This window comes from Homo sapiens, chromosome 15 (genome assembly GCF_000001405.40).
Source record: "Homo sapiens chromosome 15, GRCh38.p14 Primary Assembly".
NCBI classification, from domain to species: Eukaryota; Metazoa; Chordata; class Mammalia; order Primates; family Hominidae; genus Homo; species Homo sapiens.
Window position 1 is genome coordinate 42,748,853 of NC_000015.10, and position 19,853 is coordinate 42,768,705.

General features: G+C 41.3%; 1 protein-coding gene across 10 annotated transcripts in view, besides 1 other annotated feature; it reads right to left on the minus strand.

Moving 5' to 3' along the window:
* Positions 1–19,853, minus strand: part of TTBK2 (tau tubulin kinase 2) — a 182,271-nt gene that overhangs the window by 10,123 nt on the left and 152,295 nt on the right. For all 10 annotated transcript variants that reach the window (XM_006720402.5, XM_047432189.1, XM_005254173.6 and 7 more), the window contains one exon: positions 3,122–4,395. In XM_006720402.5, the coding sequence (XP_006720465.1) occupies positions 3,122–4,395 (1,274 nt within the window). The remainder of the gene's footprint in view (positions 1–3,121; positions 4,396–19,853) is intronic.
* Positions 10,145–10,907: an enhancer, noted in NCBI's record as "H3K27ac-H3K4me1 hESC enhancer chr15:43051195-43051957 (GRCh37/hg19 assembly coordinates)". NCBI's record gives its function as "activates a minimal SCP1, AML or CMV promoter by ChIP-STARR-seq in naive H9 embryonic stem cells {active_cell/tissue: H9 hESC(naive)}" and the evidence as "EXISTENCE:reporter gene assay evidence [ECO:0000049][PMID:30033119]".

Below are 19,853 nucleotides of genomic sequence, written 5' to 3' on the forward strand. Positions count from 1 at the left end.
TACTATGTATGGTTGTATATACCATCAGACCTAGGGAAATCTATAGGATTTTTTTGGTTTAATTCATTATAATCAAGATAAACAGCACTGTTACCAGGGTCCATTTATCAAATCATGGACAACGTATTCTTCACTAGCATTTGACATCATAATGGCATTATGGGACATAATGGGATTCTGACTGAACAAAGCTAGAAAATTGCTGATCATCAAAATGCAACTGGAGACAGACATAATCTTTATTACATGCTAAGCAATGTACCAACTCCTAGATGATTGTGGCTTTGTTTCATTCTCCCAAAACTATTAAGCAAATATTTTGCCCACTCCGTAGATGAGGAAATGGAGGTTCTTACTGCTAGAAAGTGGGAGAGCCAAAAATTAACCTGGATCAGAGAAGATTCTGGGAAGACAGTAGAGTAGGAAGCACTAGGAATCTGTCTCCCCACCTAGGCAACTGCACTGGCAGAATCTGTCTGATGTAATTATCTTGGAAATCTGGAGTCTACCAAAGGCTTGCAACTTCCAGGAGAAGGCTTGGACTGTCAATTACAGTTAATTTTAGTCTATTTCAGATCTTAGCACAGTTAACAGCTACCCATCCCCCATTCCCGGCCCCATGGCAGGCAGCTGTGCACTTATTTCTGGAGCAGTGTGCACACAGCTTACAAGAACCAGGTGGGCAAAAAGAACCCTGTCCTCCAATTACTGGGGATCTGTGCTCTGATTACTCATTGCTGCTTCTGATCACAGAAGAGCAGAGAAAGAGGTAGGTAGTAACTCTTACATTTTTCCCCATTGTTACAAACTGGTTCTCCTCTGGCTGAAGTGACTGCTAGGGGATTAAAAGGGCCAGTCCTCTTTTTTCTTCTTCCCTCATTTTTCTTTTTTCCCTTCTTCGGAGCCAGATATTAAAGACTTGTATATTCAAAACCAACCACATATACTGGGGAAATCAGAAAGCTACTATGCTTAGTCAGGAAAAAGTACAGGCTTAGAAAAGGTCTGAGACCTTAGGTTTACATCTCAGGCTGGTCCTCAGCACAGAGACAGTCTACAACCATCAAAAAAACAAACAAACAAATTAGCTAGGTGTGCTGGCATGCACCTGTAGTTCCAGATACTCAGGAGGCTGAGGCAGGAGGATCACTTGAGCCCAGGAGTTAGAGGCTGCAATAAGTCATGATTATTCCACTGCACTCCAGCCTGGGTGACAGAGTGAGATCCTGTCTCAAAAATAAAAAGAAACAAAAACAACCCACAGCAAATCCCGAAGAAAGGGGAAAATCTTATTTTCAGAGTTACCACATTATTAGATTCAAATATCCAATTTTCAACAAAAAAAATAAAAAAACTTACACAGAAACAGGAAAGGATGGTCCATTCCAAGGAGAAAAAAATGTATCAACAGAAATTGTACCTGAAAAAGACCTGATAGCAAAGCTACTAGACAAAGACTTTGAAACAACTCTCTTAAGGATGCTTGAAAAACTAAAGAAAGACACGGAGAAAGTCAAGAAAACAATGTATGAACAAAATGGAAATATAAATAAGAGACAGAAAACCTAACAAGAACCAAAAAAAATTTGGAACTAAAAAGTACAATCACTAAAATAAAAAATTCACTAGATGGATTCGAGAGCAGATTTGAGCAGGCAGAAGAAAAAATCAGCAAACTTGAAGACAGGACAATGGAAAGTATTGAGTCTGAGGTACAGAAAAAAAAAGGAGTAAAGAAAAGTAAACAGACAATAAAGGGCCTGTGGGGCCATCAAGCAGACTTGCATGCACATTGTGGGAGTTCCAGAAGGAGAAAAGAGAAAGAGGCAGAGAGAATACTTAAAAAAAAGAAAAAAAGCCTGCAAACTCCCCAAAAGTCATAAGAGACATGAATATACAACATCCCAGAAGCTCAACAAACTCGAAGTAGGATGAACTCAGAGACCCACAATGAGACACATTATAATTAAACTGTCAAAAGACAAAGACAGAGAATCTTGAGATTCTCAAAAAAATTATCAGAACACTTCTCATCAGAAACATTGAGGCTGGAAGTACTTTAGTACTTTAAAGTACTTCTTTTAAAATACTAAAAGAAATGTCAACTAAGAATCCTATATCTGGCAAAACTGTCCTTCAAAAATGAGGCAGTAATTAAGACATTCTCAGATAAAAGCTAAGGGAGTTTGTTACCACCAGACCTGTCTTGCAAGAAATGCTAAAGGGAGTCCTGTAGGTTGAAATGAAAGGGCGCCACACAGGAACTTGAAGCCATATGAATAAATAAAGATCTTAATAAAGGCAAACACATGGACAGTTAAAATTCCACATTTTGTTTTTTACATAATTTAAGAGATTAATGCATTTTAAAAATTATTAGTTTATGTGTTTGAACACACAATGTATAAAGATGTAATTTTGTAACATCAACAGCTGAAAGGAGTGGGGATGGAGACTGAAAGGAGCAGTTTCTGCATGATATTGAAGTTAAGCTGATATAAATCCAAATGAAAGTGTTATAACTTTAGAATATTAAGTGTAACACAACAATGTGAATGTACTTACTACCACTGAACTGTACACTTAAAAATGATTAAGATACAGCTGGGCACAGTGGCTCAAGCCTGTAATCCCAGCACTTTGGGAGGCCAAGGCAGGTGGATCACTTGGGGCCAGGAGTTTGAGACCAGCCTGCCCAACATAGCGAAACCCTGTCTCTAGTTTAAAAAAATAAAATAAAATAACCTGGTGTGGTGGCAGGTGCCTGTAATCCTAGCTACTTGGGTAGCTGAGGCAGAAGAGAATCTCTTGAACCCGGGATGCAGAGGTTGCAGTGAGCTGAGATTGAGTCACTCCACTCCAGCCTGCGTGACAGAGCGAGACTCTGTCTCAAAAACAAACGAAACAAAAGATGCTAAATTTTATGTTATGTGTATTTTACCGCAATAAATTGGAAAAAATCTGATTACTTCTACTGCACTAGGCTGTAAGGCCTGGGAAAGGCAGGAAAGAAAGATACTGAGAAGGGGGCAACACAGAAATGTTGCCATTGGTGGACTACAATAAAGCAGATATAGAAATGGTGTTACACACTTAACACAGGGAGAGCACACAGCATTACCTGGCTTCTACTCCAGGCCTCGTGGGTGGCTTTCCTGGTGGTGGCCGAGGAAAGAACTGAGACGAAGTTGAGCTATTGACCTGATCTGTGTTGACCCATGAAACTGGCCTTGGAATTTTGCTCTTTCTAGACTGGGAGATGATGGGTGACAGAAAGCTATCTTCAGCTGACCTACTCAGGTGAGAATCTACTGTCAGTCTTGAAAAGGGAGTGAGCACTTCCTCCTCACAAAAGGGAGCAGGAACAGTAGCTAGTTTCTCCTCTAGCAATTTATCAGAGGCACTTGAGAGGTCGCCAAGGAAGGACTTGAATTGTCTTTTTTCCACCAGAAGCTTGACTAGGTCTGGCTGATAGGCTTTCTTTTGGAGGAGCTTTTCTTTTGCAGAAACTGGAGAGGATGATTCCAAAGTTGAGTCTATCTCTTGTGCTAAAACAGGGATTCGGCTGTGTCTAGTTACAAAGGATGACCTAACCATATCCTTCCGGGTTGGGGCACCATGTTCATTCTCTGAAACACAATGAAATAGTTCTCCATTTCTAGGGGTGATTTTCTCTCTCTTGCCCTCTTGGTGCAAAAAAGTAGAGAGGTCTCCTTGATGACCTGGCAAGTCTTCACTCATGATGTCATCATCCTTAGATATCTTATTTTTTTGCATTTCTGCCACTTGGCCTATCTGACCTTCAACATGTGGGTCAATGTCTCTGGAAGAAATTTCTGAAGTTCCAACTGTCAGAAGCTTCATTATCTCATTATTTTTGTCTTGATTTGGCACCACACTAAAAGTCTGTGTTTTTGTCACATCAAGAGGTTCAGTAGTAGCTGAGTGATCCTTTTCCACAATTACCAAATCTCCTGGGAGAGAGGAGATCTCAATACAATGCTGCCCTCTACTTAACTTCTCATCTTCATTATCTGACTCTAAAAGGATGCTTTTCTCTTCAGTTTCCCCAGGGAGATTTTCAAATTCTCTCACAACCAGTCTATTATGATCAGGAAGTTCTTTTGGTCCCAGGTCTTGAGATTTGTTACTTTCTCTAATGTTGGGTAACATGTCATGACCAATGTGATCTATCTGAAGCCCCAAATCTGTTCTGCTTCCTCCACTAGGAGGTTCACCCTCTGTCACAACCAAGCCAGAGAAGTTTTCCCTTGGAGAGTAAAGTTCCACAGTGGGCTCCATGGGCTGAAGATCTTTCTTCTCTGGCTGCTGACCACAGTGAAAGCTTCCTGAAGTTGACTGTGTAGATGCCACAGAAGGTCTAGGAATTGTAATCTGGAGAAGGGGAAGAAAAAATTAAAATGCAATTATGTAAAATATCAACAAAGATGCATGCTTTGAGATTTAACATCTCCAATTCTAATTTATAGGAAGAACACAGATGTTGACCAGGTCTGCCCAACTTATAAGAAAAATGAACAATTCTGAATAACAATGATTGACACTCAAGCTACCCTACTCAGAAACTGTGCAGAACAGTCTCTCCCTGTAGGTTTATCCCTGCCCCTTCTTTGGTGTGCTGTATGCCCTGGAAGACTAATTTCTATAGACTGCACCACCTGGGTTTCCTGGCTTTCTGATTTGTGGTTAGATCTGCTCAATGGATGGCACCAACAGGCAATCAGAGGGTTAGAGGAAAGAGGGGGCTGGGTAATGATTCTCCTTGCTTCCCCACTGAGGACTGTGGCACTAGTGACAGCTACATTCCACTATCCTGGCCACAGCTCCCTTCTTATGGCCTCTCTCTCAGCTACTACCCTCGCCAAGTTCTGCGAACACCCACTTCTACTCCCCTTTCAGGACTCATGGTAGGAATGGCTCCCTCTGTTACTGGTCCCACTGGCTCTCTTAACTCTGCCCATACATCTGTAAAAAATTCCTTACATTAAATTCTCTCCAAGTCCCTTTGAGTATGCCATCTATTTTCTGCCAGAATCCAGATACAGGATTACAGGAAAAAATTATTGGCAAATAATTGTTCATTGAAAAACTCCAAATTTGCATGCATTTTGTTGTTTTCCATAAATTCTATTAAATACTAGGATTATATCTTCCTACAAGTAAAGACATACAAAGGTATTTACTAATGTTTCATGATTTCTCTAATGTTTTCTTTTTTTTTTTTTTTTTGAGACACGGTTACTGTGTCACCCAGACTGAAGTGTAAGTGGTGTGATCTTGGCTTACTGCAACCTCTGCTTTCCAAGCTCAAGTGATCCTCCCACCTCAGCCTCCCGAGTAGCTGGGACTACAGCATGCACCACCACATCTGGCTAATTTTTGCATTTTTGTAGAGATGGGGTGTCACCTGTTGCCCAGGCTGGTCTCGAACTCCTGAGCTCAAGTGATCCATCTGCCTTGGCCTCCCAAAGAGCTTGGATTAAAGGTGTAAGCCACCATACCTGGCCAATTTTTTATTTTATTTTATTTTATTTTTTTATGAGATGTTGTCTTGCTCTGTCGCCCAGGCTGGAGTGCAATGGTGCAATCTTGGCTCACCGCAACCTCCGCCTCCTGGGTTTACGTGATTCTCCCTGCCTCAGCCTCCCAAGTATCTGGGATTACAGGTGCCCACCACTATGCCCAGCTAATTTCTGTATTTTTAGTAGAGACGGGGTTTCACCATGTTGGTCAGGTTGGTCTTGAACTCCCGACCTTAGGTGATCCACCCACCTCGGCCTCCCAAAGTGCTGGGATTACAGGTGTGAGCCACCGCACCCAGCCCACACCTGACCAATTTTTAAAGATCAAGCGGGCTGGGTGCGGTGGCTCACGCCTGTAATCCCAGCACTTTGGGAGGCCGAGGTGGGCAGACCACCTGAGGTCGGGAGTTCGAGACCAGCCTGGCCAACATGGTGAAACCCCGTCTCTACTAAAAATACAAAATAAACTGGGCGTGGTGGCACATGCCTGTAATCCCAGATACTCAGGAGGCTGAGGCAGGAGAATCGCTTGAACCCGAGAGGCAGAGGTTGTGGTGAGCCGAGATTGTGCCATTGTACTCCAGCCTGGGCAATAAGAGTGAAGCTCCATCTCAGGAAAAAAAAAAAAAAAAAAAAAAATCAAGCCTATGAGAAGTGAAAATCTACCCCCCTTCCACTGAGGTAATTTTAATTCTATATGAATAAGATTCAATATCTAATAAGAATGTCCTTCCTTAAGATACCTAAAGTTTTTATTATTTTCACGTCACCTAAAGTGACATGTAAGTAGGCTGAAAATAACTATATAAACTAATAAAGAAAAACAGTCTTTTTGAGAAATCAAGTAAGTTCAAATCACTTAATGAGACCCATTAAGTTCTAGGAAAACTACAGAAATTGGTCTGAATACAATGCAAAATGAATTTGGATTAGTCATAGGAGATTTAGTTTAGAGTCGATCTCTAGTCCAAAGACACCAAGAAACCATGTGGTTCCAGGGTCAGCTAAGATGTTCAGATCTATTTCACTTTGTGTCAGGAATACTATTAGTTGGACATGGATCTGTAAAGCTCATTGACATGTAAAGCTTGTCCTAAGTCCAGCCCAGGAAAAAAAACACCTAACTAATGTCCTGGAATAGCTCCCAAATGCAACCACGGTCCTGAGGATCTTTCAGGCTAATCCAAGACAGGCAATTTGGGTTTAGAGCTAAACTCTTAGAATAAGCACAAATCTAAAATGACCTTGGGAAAAAGCATTAGGTTCTATTGGTACTGTTTTCCTTCAGGAAGTTATCTCATATTTCTGTTTTAATTATTCTAAAATATATTTAGACAGATGGCAATTTTCTAGTATATTTTGAAAGTGATGTTGAAATCTAAAATTTATAGTAATTCACTTTTCAAAATTTACTTCTTAGTAAATGCACCCAAAAGTGACCATGATAAGAAAAGCAAGTGTAAGAAATTATATTAAATGTCAAATACCAAGGGAGATGATAACCTATATTCAAAATCGGGCCAGGTGTGGTGGCTCTTGCCTATAATCCCAGCGCTCTGGGGGGCCGAGGCAGGCTGATCTCCTGAGGTCAGGAGTTTGAGACCAGACTGGCCAACATGGTGAAACCCTGTCTCTACTAAAAATACAAAAAATTAGCCAGGTATGGTGGTGGGCGCCTGTAATCCCAGCTTCTCGGGAAGCTGAGGTGGGAAAATTGCTTGAACCTGGGAGGCGGAGGATGCAGTGAGCCAAGATCATGCCACTGTACTCCAGCCTGTGTGACAGAGCCAGATTGCTGGACCCTGTCTGAAAAACAAAAACAAAAAAAACCAGTCACCTAATTATTACATGTAATTCTAAGTACATTCGTCAAAATGAACACAGCAGTGCTATAAAAATAATACTCCAGGCCAAGCACGGTGGCTCATGCCTGTAATCCCAGCACTTTGGGAGGCTGAGGTGGGCGGATCATCTGAAGTCAGGAGTTCAAGACCAGCCTGGCCAACATGGTGAAACCCTCTCTCTACTAAAAATACAAAAATTAGCTGGGGGTGATGGCGGGTGCCTGTAATACCAGCTACTTGGGAGGCTGAGGCAGGAGAATGGCTTGAACCTGGGAGGCAGAGGTTGCAGTGAGCCAAGATCGTGCCACTGCACTCGAGCCTGGGCAACAGAGCGACACTCTGTCTCAAAACAAAACAAACAAACAAAAAACTCCATTGGTCTTCTGAGATTGAAGCTAGGGTTAATTTCTACAGTTCTGAGATTAACTCATTTTAGATTCAGGATATAAATGTGCACATACATATGGTATAAAAAAAAGAGTGGCAATTTTATACATAGAAAATATATATGACCCAAGCATGGTGGCCTGTACCTGTAATCCCAGCTACTCAAGAGGCTGAGGCAGAAGATTGCTTGAGCCCAGGAGTTTGAGACCAGCCTGGGCAACATAGCAATACCCCACCTCAAAAAAAACAAAAACAAAAACAAAAACAAAACACCAAAGCAACAACAATAAAAATATATATGAATCACCAGATGGGAGAATTTTTCTTGAAAAGATTCTGAGCAATTATGATAAACTGTGCATAAACTACTCTCATATAATATTTCCATAGTACTTTAAATTTCATATTTCCCAGATCATTTTTACAAACCCCATTTCATAGCTTCTTTATATTTTAATCAGGTACTATTATCATTTTTTAATTATTATTATTATTTTTAGAGACAGAGTCTTGCTTTGTCGCCCAGGCTAGGTGCAGTGGTGCAATCACAGCTCACTGCAGCCTCTAACTCCTGGGCTCAAGCAATCCCTCCACCTCAGACTCCCAAGTAGCTGAGACTACAGGCATGTAGCACCACACCAGCTAATTAAAAAAAAAAAAAATTTGCACAGACAGGGTCTCACTATGTTGCCCAGGCTGGTCTTGAACTCCTGGGCTCAAGAGATCTTCCTGACTAGGCCTCCCAAAGTGCTGGGATTACAGGTATGAGCCACTGTGCCCGGTTAGAGTACTATTACTAATACAAATTCACAAATGAGGAAAAACACAGCCAAGAAGTCATAGATAGGACTTCAGGATTTTGAAAGTTGTGCACAGCACAGTACAGCCTACTGACATGTACTACACACTCTCAAAGTCAGGGAAACTGAGTCTGCAATAACATTATCTGACAAAATAAAAGGAGAAAACCTAGGATCAGTAGTTGAGTATAGAGAAGAGAAAGCTAATTCTAAGTGTAGCTGCAAAGAGCTTCCTTAAACTATAAAGACATAAAAGCAGTTCTCATACTTGGGGCGCTCTACAAATGGACCAAATAAATAATCTGCCAGTAAGCCATATGCATCTTTTATATCTTTAATTTCCATAATTCACAAACATTTCATTATGGCATTAATCAATCATTTCCTTTCTTCTGTTCTGTAATTGTACCATGTACATCCTTCTAAAGAATTAGAAAAGGATCTCAATATTTTCCATTTCTTTCATAGTTTCTTAGTTCTATTAGTGCCTAGTACTGTTTGACCAAAATTAGTGTCTTATTTAATAGTTCAGGTAAAGCAGCCTCACTATTTTTCAGTCACCCCATGTTTCAAACTAGCCACTAGTGAGAAACAATGAGCTGCAAACCAACTACCATTTGCATTTTAACTTACAGATTATCCTTTTACTTTTCTCTCATTCAAGGATTGTAATGTTACTAAGATAATAAAAACTGCGAAATTCAACATCCATTCCAAATAGCCTTTCTTCCAAATGAAAAGAATGTGGTATATGAAATTTCTATGTCTCATTTTTGTTTGTTGACAAAGACAAATAATTGAGCAGAGATATACATAGAATAATGTATTGGTACCTAATACAGCCTGGCCTATTAAGAAGTTAAATTTTAGCCATTCAAATTCTACCATAGACCTTTTTTGTCTAAAGCAGCTTTATATAATACTTTATAGAAATGTTGAAAATTATAGGCTGGGCGCGGTGGCTCACGCCTGTAATCCCAGCACTTTGGGAGGCCGAGGCAGGCAGATCACCTGAGGTCAGGAGTTCAAGACCAGCCTGACCAACATGCAGAAACCCCGTTTCTACTAAAAATACAAAATTAGCCAGGCATGGTGGCACATGCCTGTAATCCCAGCTACTTGGGAGGCTGCCGCAGGAGAATCACTTGAACCCATGAGGCAGAGGTTGTGGCGAGCCGAGATCGCACCATTGCACTCCAGCCTGGGTGACAAAGTGAGATTCCATCTCAAAAAAAAAAAAAAAAAAAAAGAAGCCCAAGAAGGCAGCATGGAGGCACCCAGCCTCTGCCACCCCGTTACCCAAGCCCAGATTGGGCTGGAGTCAGGAGGGACTTCCTGTTGTGGGAAAAAGGTAAGCAGAACAGCCTCATCAGCCCTCACTGCCACTGCAAACACCTACAATCCTTACTACAAGAGAAACCAACAGTCCTAGCGAGCCTGGAGCCTGGAGCCTAGTTTGGAGAGCTGCTAAAAATTCACACAGCTGCTTTGCTCCAGATTAGGAGAACAAGGTAAGCATTCCCACCCACCCATGAGCCAAGCTGCCACAGCTTAATGCCACCCTAAGGCCAGAGCCACTTCTGGAGTGTACCCTGTTCTGGGGGCCAGAAGCCACTGCACCTGTCCAGCCCTTGGACTCCATCTTCATTCCCTCAAGCTCACACAGGTGGCTGGTGGCTACAATGTCATGACCCTGACTGCTTGGAGCCTGGGCTCAGGATCAGCTGTGATTTGAGTCCTGCACAGCAGGAAAACTAACCCCTGCCATGCACACTTCCAGGTAGAGAAACAGTCTGGCAGTCCCACACAGGGCAGACACACCCTTGAGCAGGAAAGGCTTCCAAACCCCTGAGGAGCTGACCCACCTTCAGGTCAGTGTATTTGCCAGCACTCAGGGACAGCTGGCTCAGGCCAGCTCCTGGCAGATACACCCCCAGGCCAGCTGAGCGGCTGCATACCTGCGCCTTGGACCTGAGAAACAGCCTGCTGAGCCTGCCCCTGGCAGGTGTGCCTCCCAGCCCAGCCCAGCAGCCATGAGCCCATGTCCCTGGCCAGAGTAACAGCACTGTGGCCCCAACCCCAGTGAGCCAGACTCCAAACTGGCTGACCCACTTGTCTGCACATGCAGACCCTGACCTGAGAAGCAGCCTGGTGAGACCATACCCAGAAAAACCATGCCAACACTGCCACAAACTCTCACCTTAGGCCACAGAGACACTTGCAAACATCACCAGCATGGGTTACAGCTGAAGAAATTGCATGAAGACTACATTATTGCATCCACCTAGCATCAAAGCAAAGGCACCACACCCAACTGATACCCCAAGACCCAAGTATTTCCCTGTGAAATCTACTCCATAAAATTTGGAGAGTCAACTGTTCTACCAGATGCATAGAAATCAACATAGGGACACATCAAACATGAAAAAGCAAGGAAATATGACAACACCCAAGGAATGATAATTCTCCAGTAAAAGACCCCAATCATAAGGAATTATACAAAATCCCAGAAAAAAATCTAAATAATAATTTTAAAGAAACTCAGTGACATATAAGAGAATAAAGATAGACAATTCAGTTAAATCAGAAAAACAATTCATGATTTCAATGAGAAATTCAACAGAAATAGATATCATAAAAAAGAACCAAAGGAATCTTAGCACTAAAGAATTAAATGGGCCGGGTGTGGTGGCTCACGCCTATAATACCAGCACTTTAGGAGGCCAAGGTGGGCAGATAACTTGAGGTCAGGAGTTTGAGACCAGCCTGGCCAACATGGTGAAACCCTGTCTCTACTAAAAATACAAAAATTAGCCAGGTGTGGTGGTGGGCACCTGTAATCCCAGCTACTCAGGAGGCTGAGGCAGAAGAATTGCTTGAACCAGGAGGCAGAGGTTGCAGTGAGCTGAGATCATGCCACTGCACTCCAGCCTGGGTGGCAGAGTGAGACTCCATCTCAAAAAAAAAAAAAAAAAAACAAAAAAAGAATTCAATGAATGAAATAAAAAATACAATTGAGAGCTTCAACAACAGACTAGACCAGGCAGAATTTCTGAATTGGAAGACAGGTCTTTTGAATAACTCAGGCAGACAAAAATAAAATTTTTTAATGAAGAAAACCTACAGGATCTACTAGATTTTCTGTATTTTATTTGTTTGCTTAACAAATAAAATAACTAGGAATAAATTTAACCAAAGAAGTGAAAGATCTCTACAAGTAAAACCAGAAAATACTAATGAAAGAAACTGAAGAGAACATACAATAAAATGGAAAGGTATCTCATGCTCTTGTATTGGAAGAATTAATATTGCTAAATTAATAGTGTTTAAATGCCTATAGTATCTGAAGTGCTACAGATTCAATGCAATCCCTATCAAAATACCAATGACATTTTTTGCAGAAATAGAAAAACAATCCGACCCCAAATATCTAAAGCAATCCTAAGCAAAAATACAAAAGAAAACAAAACAAAAGTTGGAGGTATAACACTACCTAATTTCAAATTATACTACAAAGCTATAGTAACCAAAACAGCATGGTACTGGCATAAAAACAGACACATAGACCAACAGAACAGATCAGAGAATCCAGAAATAGATCCATTTATCTACAGCCAACTGAGTTTGACAAAGGCACCACAGCATTCACTGGGGAAAGAACAGTCTCTTCAATAAATGATGCTGGGAAAACTGGATATCCACATGCAGAACAATGAAACTAGACCCCCATCTCTCACCTTATATAAAAATCAGCTCAAAATGGATTAAAGACCTAAATGCAAGGCCTGAAACTACAAAACTACTAGAAGAAAACATAGGGTAAATGTTTCAGAACACTGGTCTAGGAAAATACTTTATGAATAAGACCTCAAAAGCACAGGCAACAAAAAAATAAACTGGATTATATCAAACTAAAAACCTTCTTCACAGCAAAGGAAACAGTCAATAGAGTGAAAAGATAACCTACAAAATGGGAGAAAATATCTACAAACTATTCATCTAATGGGATGATAGCAAAGGAAAACCTTCTTCACAGCAAAGGAAACAGTCAATAGAGTGAAAAGATAACCTACAAAATGGAAGAAAATATCTACAAACTATTCATCTAACAGGATTAATATCCAGAATATTTAAGAAACTCAAACATCTCAACAGCCAAAAAAAAAAAAAAGGAAAGAAAAACATCTCATTAGAAAATGGGCAAATGGTCTACACAGACATTTCTCAAAAGAAGATATAGAAATGGCCAACAAATACATGAAAACATGTTCAGTATCACTAGTCATCAGGGAAATGCAAATAAAAACCACAATGAGATATTGTATCACCCCAGTAAAAATGGCTATCATCAAAAAGACAAAAAAATAACAAATGCTGGCAAGGATGCAGAGAAAAGAGAACTCTCAAATACAGTGTTTGTGGGTGTAACGGTTTGGCTGTGTCCCCACCCAAATCTCATCTTGAATTCCCACATGTTGTGGGAGGGACCCAGTGGGAGGTAACTGAATCATGGGGGCAGGTCTTTCTCATGCTGTTCTCGTGATAGTGAGTAAGTCTCATGAGATCTGATGGTTATTATAAGGGGGAGTTTTCCTGCACAAGCTCTCTTTGCCTGCTGCCATCCATGTAAGATGTGACTTGCTCCTCCTTGCCTTCCACCATGATTGTGAGGCCTCCCCAGCCATGTGGAACTGTAAGTCCAATTAAACCTCTTTCTTTTGTAAATTGCTCAGTCTTGGGTATGTCTTTATCAGCAGTATGAGAACAGAGTAATACAGTGGGAATGTAAACTAGTACAGTTACTACTATGGAGAAAAGTATGTAGGTTCCTCAAAAAACTACAAATAGAACTACCATACAATTCAGCAATCCCACTACTGGGAAGATCAGTATATTGAAGAGATATCTGCACACTCACGTTTACTGCATCACTGTTCACAATAGCCAAGATATGGAATCAACCCAAGTGTACAACAACAGATGAGTGGATAAAGAAAATGTGGTATAGCGGCCGGGCACGGTGGCTCATGCCTGTAATCCCAGAACTTTGAAAGGCCAAGGCAGGTGGATCACCTGAGGTCAGAGTTCGAGACCAGCCTGGCCAACATGGTGAAACCCAGTCTCCACAAAAAATACAAAAATTAGCCAGGCATGGTGGCATGTGCCTGTAGTCCCAGCTACTCAGGAGGCTGAGGCAGGAGCATTGCTTGAACCCGGGAGGTGGTGGCTGCACTGAGCCAAGATCACCACCACTGTACTCCAGCCTGGGTGACAGAGTGAGATGCTGTCTCAAAAAATAAATAAATAAATAAATAAAAGAAAATGTGGTATAAACAAACAATGGAATACTATTCAGCCATAAAAAATAAAATCCTGTCATTCATGGCAACATGGATGGCACTGGAGGCTGTTATGTTAAATGAAATAAGCCAGGCAAAGAAAGACAAATACCGCATGTTCTCACTAATATATGAGGAAGCTAAAAAAAAGTTGATTTTACGTAAGTAAAAAGTAGAAGAGAGGTTATTAGAGGCTGGAAAGAGTAGCGGGAACGGGGAGATAGGGAAAGATTTGTTAAAGGATACAAAATTACAGCTAGAGAGAAGGAATAACTTCTAGTGTTCCATAGCACTATAGGATGATTACAGTTAACAATTTTATATATATATATATATACGTATATATATATATACACATATATATACATATATACATACATATATATATATACATATATATATATATATATATATATATATATATATATTTTTTTTTTTTTTTTTTTTTTTTTTTTTTTTTTTTTTTTGAGACAGAGTCTTACTCTGTCACCCAGGCTGGAGCACAGAGTGCGATCTTTGCTCACTGCAACCTCCACCTCCTGGGTTCAAGCAGTTCTCCTGCCTCAGCCTCCCAAGTAGCTGGGATTACAAGCATGCCCCATCACGCCTGTCTAATTTTTGTGTTTTTAGTAGACACAGCGTTTCACCATGTTAGCCAGGTTGGTCTCCAACTCCTGACCTCAGGTAATCCACCTGCCTCAGCCTCTCAAAGTGCTGGGATTACAGGCATGAGCCACTGCGTCTGGCCCAATAATATATATTTTCAAATAGATAGAAGAAAGGATATCGAATGCTCCCAACACAAAGAAATGATAAACGTTTGAGATGATGTAGATGCTAGTTACACTGATCTAGTCACTATACATTGTATGTGTCAAGACATCACTATGTACCTCATACATATGTATGATTATTATGTGCCAATTATAACTTTTTTAAGAGGCCATACATGGTATCTTCCACTTTGGCCAATGTGGATTGAGGTGAGGGTGGATGGGGAAGAGTGGGGAAGGCAGCAGTCTTTGCCACAAAGGTGGGCAAAACTAAAAACCTAAAGCCTCAAAACCTACGTGAATGAAAAGTAAAAGCTGCTTTTGTCCTTACCTTGTCATCCCACTCCCCAGACAAGTCACTCATTATTGAAAGTTTAATGTGTCTTTAAAGGGGTTTCCAATTATAAAAATTTTGTGGGACTACTAAAAATCATAAGCCACAACTCATATCCAAAGAATAGAAGCCCAGAAAAGATGGACTAAAACAAAAATATTTTTTGGCAGGCCTGTAATTGCATATTATATACAAGGCTACAGGATTAAACAGTCACTTTTCTAGCCCCTTCATGCAGTATTGAAAGACACCTTAGGGGTTCTGTCCCAAGATGGCCGAATAGGAACAGCTCCAGTCTGCAGCTCCCAGCATGACTGACGCAGAAGACAGGTGATTTCTGCATTTCCAACTGAGGTACCTGGTTCATCTCACTGGGACTGGTTGGACAGTGGGTCCAGCCCATGGAGGGCAAGCTGAAGCAGGGCAGGGCATCGCCTCACCCGGGAAGCATAGGGGGTTGGGGGATTTCCCTTCCCTAGCCAAGGGAAGCCGTGACAGACGGTACCTGGAAAAATGGGACACTCTCGCCCAAATACTGTGCTTTTCCAAAGGTCTTAGCAAACGGCACACCAGGAGATTACATCCTGCGCCAGGCTCAGCGGGTCCCACGCCCACGGAGCCTTGCTCACTGCTAGCGCAGCAGTCTGAGATCAACTTGTGAGGCAGCAGCCTGGCAGGGGGAGGGGCGTCTGCCATTGCTGAGGCTTGAGTAGGTAAATAAAGCAGCCAGGGAAGCTCGAACTGGGCAGAGCCCACCGCAGCTCAGCAAGGCCTGCTGCCTCTGTAGACTCCACCTCTGGGGGCAGAGCATAGCTGAACAAAAGGCAGCAGAAACTTTTGCAAACTTAAACGTCCCTGTCTGACAGCTCTGAAGAGAGCAGTGCTTCTCCCAGCATGGAGTTTGAGCTCGGAGAATGGACAGACTGCCTCCTCAAGTGGGTCCCTGACACCCGTGTAGCCTAATTGGGAGACACCTCCCAGTAGGGGCTGAGTGTCACCTCATATAGCCAGGTGCCCCTCTGAGACGAAGCTTCCAGAGGAAGGATCAGGCAGCAATATTTGCTGTTCTGCAATATTTGCTGTTCTGCAGCCTCTGCTGGTGATACCCAGGCAAACAGGGTCTGGAGTGGACCTCCAGCAAACTCCAACAGACCTGCAGCTGAAGGATCTGACTGTTAGAAGGAAAACTAACAAACAGAAAGGACATCCACACCAAAACCCCATCTGTAGGCCACCATCATCAAAGACCAAAGGTAGATAAAACCACAAAGATGGGAAGATGGGAAGAAACCAGAGCAGAAAAGCTGAAAATTCTAAAAACCAGAGCACCTCTTCCCCTCCAAAGGATTGCAGCTCCTCGCCATCAACGGAACAAAGCTGGACGGAGAATGAATTTGATGAGTTGACAGAAGTAGGCTTCAGAAGGTCGCTAATAACAAACTTCTCCGAGCTAAAGGAGGATGTTTGAACCCATTGCAAGGAAGCTAAAAACCTTGAAAAAAGATTAGACGAATGGCTAACTAGAATAAACAGCGTAGAGAAGACCTTAAATGACCTGATGGAGCTGAAAACCATGGCACGAGAACTACATGATGCATGCACAAGCTTCAGTAGCCGATTCTATCATGTGGAAGAAAGGGTATCAGTGATTGAAGATCAAATTAATGAAATGAAGCGAGAAGAGAAGTTTAGAGAAAAAAGAGTAAAAAGAAATGAACAAAGCCTCCAAGAAATATCGGACTATGTGAAAAGACCAAATCTACATTTGATTGGTGTACCTGAAAGTGATGGGGAGAATGGAACCAAGCTGCAAAACACTCTGCAGGATATTATCCAGGAGAACTTCCCCAATCTAGCAAGGCAGGCCAACATTCAAATTCAGGAAATACAGAGAACACCACAAAGATACTCCATGAGAAGAGCAACTCCAAGACACAAAATTGTCAGATTCACCAAGGTTGAAATGAAGGAAAAAATGTTAAGGGCAGCCAGAGAGAAAGGGCCAGGTTACCCACAGAGGGAAGCCCATCAGACTAACAGCAGATCTCTTGGCAGAAACCCTACAAGCCAGAAGAGAGTGGGGGCCAATATTCAACATTCTTAAAGAAAAGAATTTTCAACCCAGAATTTCATATCCAGCCAAACTAAGCTTCATAAGTGAAGGAGAAATAAAATCCTTTACAGACAAGCAAATGTTGAGAGATTTTGTCACCTCCAGGCCTGCCTTACAAGAGTTCCTGAAAGAAGCACTAAACATGGAAAGGAACAATTGGTACCAGCCACTGCAAAAACATGCCAAATTGTAAAGACCATCGATGCTAGGAAGAAACTGCATCAACTAACTGGCAAAATAACCAGCTAACATCATAATGACAGGATCAAATGCACACATAACAATATTAATCTTAAATGTAAATGAGCTAAATGCCCCAATTAAAAGACACAGACTGGCAAACTGGATAAAGAGTCAAGACCCATAAGTGTGCTGTATTCAGGAGACCTATCTCACGTGCACAGACACACATAGGCTCAAAATAAAGGGACGAAGGAAGATCTACCAAGCGAATGGAAAGCAAAAAAAAAAAAAAAAAAAAAGCAAGGGTTGCAATCCTAGTCTCTGATAAAACAGACTTTAAACCAACAAAGATCAAAACAGACAAAGAAGGTCATTACACAATGGTAAAGGGATCAATTCAATAAGAAGAGCTAACTATCCTAAATATATATGCACCCAATACAGGAGCACCCAGATTCATAAAGCAAGTCCTTAGAGACCTACAAAGAGACTTAGACTCCCACACAATAATAATGGGAGACTTTAACACCCCACTGTCAACATTAGTCAGATGAACCAGACAGAAGGTTAACAAGGATATCCAGGACTTGAACTCAGCTCTGCACCAAGCAGACCTAATAGACATCTACAGAACTCTCCACCTCAAATCAACAGAATATACATTCTTCTCAGCACCACATCATACTTATTCCAAAGTTCACCACACAGTTGGAAGTAGAGCACTCCTCAGCAAATGTAAAAGAACAGAAATTATAACAAACTGTCTCTCAGACCACAGTGCAATCAAATTAGAACTCAGGATTAAGAAACTCACTCAAAACTGCACAACTACATGGAAACTGAACAACCTGCTCCTGAATGACTACTGGGTAAATAACAAAATGAAGGAAGAAATAAAGATGTTCTTTGAAACCAGTGAGAACAAAGACACAATGTGACACAATCTCTGGGACACATTTAAAGCAGTGTGTAGAGGGAAATTTATAGTACTAAATGCCCACAAGAGAAAGCAGGAAAGATCTAAAATTGACACCCTAACATCACAATTAAAAGAACTAGAGAAGCAAGAGCAAACACATTCAAAAGCTAGCAGAAGGCAAGAACTGAAGGAGATAGAGACACAAAAAAACCCTTCAAAAAATCAATGAATCCAGGAGCTGGTTTTTTGATAAGATCAACAAAATTGAAAGACCGCTAGCAAGACTAATAAAAAAGAAAAGAGAGAAGAATCAAATAGACGCAATAAAAATGATAAAGGGGATATCACCACCATCCAACAGAAATACAAACTACCATCAGAGAATATTATAAACACCTCTATGCAAATAAACTAGAAAATCTAGAAGAAATGGATAAATTCCAGGACACATACACCCTCCCAAGACTAAACCAGGAAGAAGTTGAATCTCTGAGTAGACCAATAACAGGCTCTGAAATTGAGGCAATAATTAATAGCCTACCAACCAAAAGAAGTCCAGGACCAGACGGATTCATAGCCATATTCTACCAGAGGTACAAAGAGGAGCTGGTACCATTCTTTCTGAAACTATTCCAATCAATAGAAAAAGAGGGCACCCTCCCTAACTCATTTTATGAGGCCAGCGTCATCCTGATACCAAAGCCTGACAGAGACACAACAAAAAAAGAGAATTTTAGACCAATATCCCTGATGAACATTGATGCACAAATCCTCAATAAAATACCGGCAAACCGAATCCAGCAGCACGTCAAAAAGCTTATCCACCACGATTAAGTTGGCTTCATCCCTGGGATGTAATGCTGGTTCAAAATATGCAAATTAATAAACATAATTCATCACATAAACAGAACCAATGACAAAAACCGTATGTTTATCTCAACAGATGCAGAAAAGGCCTTCAACAAAATTCAACAGCCCTTCGTGCTAAAAACTCTCAATAAACTAGGTATCGATGGAACGTATCTCAAAATAATAAGAGTTATTTATGACAAAACCACAGCCAATATCATACTGAATGGGCAAAAACTGGAAGCATTCCCTTTGAAAACTGGCACAAGACAGGGATGTCCTCTCTCACCACTCCTATTCAACATAGTGTTGGAAGTTCTGGCCAGGGCAATCAGGCAAGAGAAAGAAATAAAGGGTATTCAATCAGGAAAAGAGGAAGTCAAATTGTCCCTGTTTACAGATGACATGATTGTATATTTAGAAAACCCCATCATCTCAGCCCAAAATCTTCTTAAGCTGATAAGCAACTTCAGCAAAGTCTCAGGATACAAAATCAATGTGCAAAAATCACAAGCATTCCTATACACCAATAACAGACAGAGAGCCAAATCATGAGTGAACTCCCATTCACAACTGCTACTAAGAGAATAAAATACCTAGGAATCCAACTTACAAGGGATATGAAGGACCTCTTCAAGGAGAACTACAAACCACTGCTCAATGAAATAAAAGAGGATACAAACAAATGGAAGAACATTCCATGTTCATGGATAGGAAGAATCAGTATCGTGAAAATGGCCATACTGCCCAAGGTAATTTATAGATTCAA